The sequence below is a fragment of the Homo sapiens genome, chromosome 7, assembly GCF_000001405.40.
Source record: "Homo sapiens chromosome 7, GRCh38.p14 Primary Assembly".
Classification (NCBI taxonomy): Eukaryota; Metazoa; Chordata; class Mammalia; order Primates; family Hominidae; genus Homo; species Homo sapiens.
The window spans coordinates 29,616,025-29,624,222 of record NC_000007.14 but is presented as its reverse complement, the minus strand read 5'-3'; the positions used below and the strand labels follow the sequence as shown (position 1 = coordinate 29,624,222).

Here is an 8,198-nt window from a genome sequence, read left to right as displayed (position 1 = left end):
GATGAATAAAGTGCCACACAATTATGTGTGTAGATTAAAATCTGGATGCAACAGCCCCGAGGGCAGGCTGACTCAGCTGCTTATTTGTGACTAGAGAGCACATTAGAATAGAATATTCAGAAATGCACAAAACACACTTATCTCTAATCACTTATAGATGGTAGGTTGGATCTGAGTGGGGTTATTTTGCTGAATGGTACAGAAGAAGTTCTATTGAAAGATTAATTCTGCTGGGCGTGTTGGCTCACACCTGTAATGCTAGACTTGGGGAGGCCGAGGTGGGTGGATCACCTGAGGTCAGGAGTTTGAGACCAGCCTGGCCAACATGGTGAAACCCCATCTCTACTAAAAATACAAAAATTAGCCAGCAGGTGCCTGTAATCCCAGCTACTCGGGAGGCGGAGGCAGGAGAATCGGTTGATCCCAGGAGGCAGAGGTTGCAGTGAGCCGAGATCGCACCATTGCACTCCAGTCTGTGCGACATAGCGAGACTCTGTCTCCAAAAAAAAAAAAAAAAAAAAAGATTAATTCACTAAGGAGAAATTGCACTATACTCTGAATAAAAGTAGCCATAAGGTGTGGGAGATCCTGTTGAAATAACACTGCCACCTTGCTAGTGGGTTTTTTTCAGCAACATATTCTGGAATGGGATACAGTTATTGCAGACACATGAAGACCTGCATTAGAACAGGACACACATTTTTTCACGAAAAATAAGTTTTGGGAAAGTTTATGTTGAAGAGTTATTTTGGATAAGACAGGGCTACAAAAAGTAAAGTATTATCATTTAGAATTTTGAAACTCTTCTCTTTTCCCCTTCGGTATAATTAGCTTTAAGTGCATTTACAGTGGCTACAATAATTAAAATGTACTTATCTTTTTTGGGAGGCCGAGGCCGGTGGATCAGTTGAGGTCAGGAGTTTGAGACCAGCCTGACCAACATGGTGAAACCCCGCCTCTACTAAAAGTACAAAAATTAGCCAGGTATGGTGGCAGATACCTGTAGTCCCAGCTACTCGGAAAGGGCTGAGGCAGGAGAATCGCTTGAACCCGGGAAGCAGAGGTTGGAGTCAGCCGAGGTCGTGCCATTGCACTACAGCCTGGGCAACAGAGGGAGACACTGTCTCAAAAAAAAAAAAAAAAAAAAAAAGGACTTATCTTTAAGGCATAAAATACCAGTTAAAAATATCCAAGTTTATGAATAGGGAAGCAAAGCATTGTCAGATGCTTTATATAGTTTATATACATTACAATTTATTGTATACTCATTGCATCAGCAAGTATGAGGTCCTCTCTAAAGGACTGATTTAAATGTAGTAAATCATTTAAGTATGAAAGTAATTAGTGGACATCTGCGTTACAGGGGCTGGGCTGCTAGGCAGAGAGATGCCTGACTCACCTCCCTGCTCCTCAACATGCATGCTTTCCAAAATGATTCATGAAAGCCTTTCATAGAATCGGCTGCCAATTGCAACTCCCAGGCAGGAAACACATTAGTCAACTATCTGTCACACACCAGGAGAAGTGTTATTAGCCTGTGTCTAAGGGGCTCCTGTCCCAGGTTGAAGAAGAGGTTTCCATGTATCCCGAGACCCCAGAGATTTGGAGCCTTCGTTGTTGAGCAACTGTCGGTTATCTCTCCACTGCACAGGGACAGCTCTAGGAGGTAGCCCTGGTTGTTTCACCCCAAATTAATACCTGCCTCTCTGCTTCTGCTACAGGGCTGCAATGGACTGCAATGCACTGCAATGCACTTGGAGGAGGACGGGGTTGATCAGGAGCTCACTGCAGCCAGGAACAGGAAGGTAATACAGGTGCAAAACCAGGAAAGGTGTGGGGACTAGTTGTCGCCGGAGGTTTTAGTTTTTCTAGATGCTTTTTCTAACAGGCAATTAACTATAAACTGCTTCAAATTATTCTTGAAAAACCCTCTAACTGGCCCAACAATTAGGTACCAGGCCTTAGTAGATATAATAATTTAGTATCTTAATAGGTGGTTAACCATTTGGGAGAAAATAATTTAGATCTTCATCCCATATCATACATCAGCATAAATTCCAAACAAACTAAAGAATTAGATGTAAATGATTAAGCTATAAAATAAGGAAGAATAAGTAGCTGACTGGGTTTGGGATGGGGAAAGGACTTTCCAGGCATACAAATCAATACAATATTACAAAAGAAAAATTTGTAATAGATTTGGCTGCATAAAACATTTATTACATCCGTATATATATATTTTAAAACCACAACCAATAGAATAAAAATAAAGAATATAAAAATGAGTAAATATTTATAAATATTTGTAGAAGTGAGTTCATGGCCTTATTATAGAAAGATTCCCTTCCCTCAGTTTAAATTTAAATTAACAAAGCCTAGGAAAACATAATTCATAAATTTAATATTTTATGAAAATAGCAAATAACATTAAGATGTCCAGCCTCTCTAGGAACTAAAAAAATCTAAATGAAAACAAGATTGTTTCTTTTTAATTATCAAAGAGCAATGATATTTTTAGAACAATAATACACAAATATAACTAGATAAAGACCCTGTAGTTATTAGGTAGGGAAATTTGGCCATATTTCTTTAAATTTATTTTACTTTAGTAAATTTTTATCTATATCCTAATGAACTAGTCAAACATTCAAGAATTTATATATAAAATATTCATCCATTAATTTATCAAAAGTTTGAATTGACCCAAACCCCCAACATAAGAGAAATCGTATATAAACTACAGCACAGACACATATAAAATACAGTTTTTAACTATTTATTTTTAATTTAATTATTTAATTTTAAATTTCTGTTTTTAAATGTTAATAGTTATTTGAAATGATAATTAAATGATGTGAGCAATGTTCAGTGCACTTTGTGGAGCATCATAAATACTTTATTTCACAATGAAAAGAGTTCCTTATGTTTTTGATAATAAAATTAGAATGTAAAAGTAAAATTTAAAAAGTAATACAGAAAGCTCAAAGGAAAAAGTAAAAATTAACCAAAACATCATCTCTAAGTGATAAAAGATGTTAAATTATTGAATAGCCTTTTGTATAGTTTTCTGTGCATATATGTAGACACACAATCTCATGTACAAATTTACAAAGTATTATTTTTATGAACTAGAGCATACTTATCCTGAATTTAACTAATTTCCTTTCCTTCAAGATATTTATTTATATCTTTTAATGTGAAAATTATACATCCTCATCATCATTTGTAATGACTGCACAGTATTCTATTGTATATTTGTTCTAAAATTCAGTTAACTAGCTTTCCACTGATGGATATATTTAGTAAGTAAACAGGACCAGGGCAATGCAGCTGGACAGAGAGCTCAGTTTTAAGAGAGAGTCTCTGTTCCCCTGCTAATCTCTTTTCTAAAGCTGCAAATACAACGACAATCTTGTTTGTAGCTAATAAGCTCTAAGCACACAAGGACCAGGCACGCAAACATGTTCCATACCACCTGTGCAAGACATTGTCTGACCCCATCAACTGTAAGCTCCTGGCAACCCTTTAAGAAACAGGATTCAAGCTGCAAGGGTGAGGGGAGTCTTGATCCTTTGGGAAGCTGAGTTTTTCTGGTTCCAGTCCACCCATTCCAGGCAACCTGAGCACATAGTCATTGACTGAATAATCCTGCCCATCCCTCTCCCCAAGAACATTGTCCTGAAGACTCACTCAGAGGAAGATCACACCTCTAATAAAAACCTGCTTTTGGAAAAATTTAAAATGTTAGCTACTGAAAGGCACTCCTGGGGCTAGAGGGGGAGCTTGTCTTGTTTCTTCCTTTTCAATCTGGTGTTACTTTACAATAAACTCATTGGTCTATTCCATGGGCTTGGCTCAGCCTTCCTTGCAAATTACTTCCTGCAAAATCCTACTTTGCATATTCGAAGCTTATCCTTAACTCTTCCCTGTTGCACTTCTGCTATGACAATCCTAATTCTTCCCAGTCCCTGCCCACAATTCCTACCTAACTAGGGAAAACGTGGCATAATGCAGAAACACACAAAGCAAAGCACATGAATATTTTCCAAAATGTTTTTCTTATGGCATCCACACTTAAGTTCACATCCTTCAAAAAATAAATTTGTAACGTGTTTTTAAGCGATTGGTATTGTTAACACCAAGTATGAGATCCCATTTTCAGAGGTGTTTGAACCACAGCAACTCCATCTTGAATAAGGGCTGGGTAAAAATGATGCTGAGACCTACTGGGCTGCATTACCGGATGGTTAAGACATTCTAAGTCACAGGATGATACAGGAGTTCAGCACAACATACAGGTCATAAAGAGCTTGCTGATGAAACAGGGTGCAGTAAAGAAGCCAGCTAAAACCCACCCAAACCAAGATGGCGACAAGAGTGATCTCTGGTCGTCCTCACTGCTACACTCCCACCAGTGCCATGACAGTTTACAAATGCCATGGCAACATCAGAAAGTTGCCCTATATGGTCTGAAAAGGGGAGGCATGAATAATCCACCCCTTGTTTAGCATATCATCAAGAAATAACCATAAAAATGGGCAACCAGCAGCCCTTGGGGCTGCTCTGTCTATGGAGTAGCCATTCTTTTATTGTTTTACTTTCCTAATAAACTGGCTTTCACTTTACTCTGTGGACTTGCCCTGACTTCTTTCTTGCGTGAGATCCAAGAATCCTCTCTTGGGGTCTGGATTGAGACCCCTTTCCAGTAACACAGCTACACCCTGCTTTAAAAATTGTAATGGCGTCTCAAGGCCAACAGTGTAAGGGACTAAGCTCTTATCCTGTGTGGTATAAAAGACTTCATAATCTGACCCAGGTACCTCTCTTTCCTCGTTTTCCACCATCCCTTATTATGTTCGCTGTGGAAAACAGTTACGGTAACTAACTTGTCATCGTTTCCCTCAAATGGCTAATGGTATTTTATCACTATGTGACTCAGCTCAGATTTCTGCTTTTCCCTAGGGCTTCTTAATGCTACTGGCTCATCAGAATCACCTGGTGACATTTTTTAAATGTTTACTTGTTTATATTTCAAAATTTTTTAAATTTTGAAATTGTTTTAGATTTACAAAAGAGTTGTAAAGATAGCACATAGAGTTCCTGTCTATTCTTCTTTAGCTTCCCCTAATGTTAACATTTAAACTTAACTGTGGTACATTTATCAAAACGAAGAAATCGGCATTGGCATTTTACTAACTAAACTATAGACTTCCTTTGGATTCTGCCAGTTTTTCCACCAATGTCCTTTGTTCAAAGATCCAAACTAGGAAATCATATTTGTATTTACTTGACATGTCTCCTTAGACTTCTTCAATCTGCGAAAAATTCTGTTTTTTTCCTTGTTTTTCAAGATCTTGGCACTTTGAAAGAGCATTATTCCGGTATTTTGTAGAATGTCCCTCAGGTATGTCTGATATTTTCTTATGATCAAGCTGAGGTCATGGATTTGGAGGAAGAATACCACAGAGGTATGTGCCCTTCTCCCTGCATCCTATCGGGGGCACGTGATATCACCAGGAGTTTTCACTGGTCATATTAACCTTGATCACTTGGTCAAGGTGGTTTCTTCCAGGTTTCTCTAGTGCAAAGTTAGGTTTTTCCCTTTCCATACGTATTAGTCAACAAATCACTAAGTTCAGCCCACACTCAACGGCAAGGGAATGAAGTCTCACGTTTTGGAGGAAGAAGTATCTATCTACAGAAATAACTGTGACATGTGTTAAAACTACCACAGTAGCTGAAAATATCATGAACGAGATACTTTGAGGCTATGCAACTCTCTTGTTTTTCTTTAAAGTTTTGCCCACAAATTTTAATATTTAATATGTTAATTATTATACTGGTGTTCTAAAGATGATTTCTTTATTTCCCCCATTTCTTCTACATTCATTAATTGGAATTCCTTCTGTATTTTTACTACACAGTTCTATAGGTTTTGACAAACTCATATAGTCATGAACCCATCACCACAGTCAAGATGTAGAATATTTCCATTGTCCCTAAATGTTCCTTCAAGTCCCTTTGTAGCAACCTTATCTATTTGCTGTCTATATAGTCTTACTTTTTCAGAATATCATCTAAATGGAATCATATGTTACATAGCCTTTGAGTCTGGCTTCTTTCATTCAGCATAATGCATGAGAGTCATCCAAGTTGCTGCATATATCAATAGTTCATTCATATTTAGCAAAGTAGTATTCCATGTATAGATACAGTTTTTTTTTAAAAAAAAAATCTATTCTCCAATGGATGCACATTTGGGTTGTTTCCAGTTTTTGGCAATAACACATAATGATGCTATAAATATTCACAGGTGTGTTTTCATTTGAACATAAATTTCCTCTTTTTTGGACAAATAGCACTTGCTTAGGATTGCTGGGTATGAGAGTCATAATGGCCCCCCAAGATGTCTACATTTTAATTTTCTAATTGCCAAGACCCGTGAAGATGTTACCTTACATGGCAAAGGGGAATTGAGTTTGAGGATGGAATTAAGGTAGCTAATTAGCTGACCTTAAACTAGGGAGATTACCCTGGATTATTTGGTGGGCCCCATTTAATCACATGGGTCCTTCCTTAAAAGCACAGAAGTCCGAGGGATACAATGAGATGTTGCTAGGTTATATCATGAGTTAATTTTCTTACATTTCTGGAAGTCAGAATCCTAAAATCAAGGTGTTGGCAAGGCTCCATTCCTTCTTCAGGCTGCAGAGGAGAACCTGTTTTCTTGCTTTTACCAGCTTCTACAGGTGCCCACATTCCTTGGGCTGTGGCCTCTTCCTCCATCATCAAAACGCATCATCACTCCAACCTCTGTTCCATAGCCATTGCCTTCCCTCTACCTGCCTCCATCATCCCATTGCCTTCTGTCTTCGACTCTAAGGTTCCCTGTGGTCACACTGAGCCCATCAAGATAATGCAGGATAATCTCATCTCAGGATCCTTAACTTATCTGCATAGTCCCTTTTACCACAGAAGATAATGTGTTCACAGGTTTCAGAGGTTACAACGTGGGCATTTTAGAGGGCCATTGTTCAGTCTAACACAACAGCATTAAAAAAAAAAGTAAAAACCAAAAAAGCACAGACTATTAGGATAATCGTCTCATTCTGGTTTGGCTGAAACTTTTGAGTTTTTAGCATTGGAAGTCTTGCATCCCTCAGTCCTGGGCACAGTAATGGTTGCTCACCCTACCTGGTAGACACAATAAATGTTTAATAAAATGAACAAATAAACAGCAAATAGATCATGAACTTGCTAAACTAGAAAGAATCTTAGCATGTCATTTTGGATAGCACTTTCTGCTTTCACTAGGTAAATGTTAACATTACCAAAGATTCTCCACCAGTCATATCGATTCATTATCTGAGGCCTGAGGAATCCCAGAATAGGGAGAAGGGATTTCAGGTTATTTGGAGCAAAAAGGACATGCATTTCCCTTGTTCCTCTGGTGGCACAAATGTATTAGACCCAGGCAACTTCATCTTTGACATGAAAGGGAGTGGTTTGAGAATATAATTTTTTAAATATGAGACCTAAAACACATGTTTGAGGGTTGAAGAAAGTGAAAAAAGTACATAAGAGGAATGTAGGCTTCTGGCACAGCCTAGGGTTTCCTTTGAGGATGATAACCTTAGAAGTCTGGACCTCAGTTTCCTCATCTGTTATATGGGGTTAGGCCTGCCCATCCTTAACTCACAGAGTTGCCGAGAAGAACAAATGAGATCCCACATTAAAAGCACTCTGACAGGGGAGAGAGCCTGGAGTGAGATAATTTGCCTCTTTTTGCCTCAGTTTTCCAACCCATCAATGACGTTTCATTCATTCAACAGATATTTATTGAGCATCTTCTATGTGCCAGCATTCATTTTGCACTAGAATACAGCAGTGAATAAAACACAAAATCCCTGTTCTTCCAACAGTTATATTCTGGGACTGGAGACAAATAAGTATATATTGGGATGATAAGTGCTAAGAATAAGAATTAAAAAAATAAACTAGGAAGAAGGACAGTCAATGGGAGAGTGTGTGTTTGTTTGTTTGGTTTGGTTTTTGTTTTTGAGACAGAGTCTTGCCCTGTTGATGAGGCTAGAGTGCAGTGGCACAATCCTGGCTCACTGTAACCTCTACCTCCTAGGATCAAGAGATTCTCCTGCCTCAGCCTCCCAAGTAGCTGGGATTACAGGCATGTGCCACCA

General features: G+C 38.3%; 1 annotated feature.

Annotated features, from left to right (window-relative positions):
• Positions 1,396-1,690: a silencer, noted in NCBI's record as "tiled region #12919; HepG2 Repressive non-DNase unmatched - State 10:DNaseD, and K562 Repressive DNase matched - State 8:EnhW". NCBI's record gives its function as "represses a minimal TATA promoter and a strong SV40 promoter by Sharpr-MPRA in HepG2 and K562 cells {active_cell/tissue: HepG2 | K562}" and the evidence as "EXISTENCE:reporter gene assay evidence [ECO:0000049][PMID:27701403]".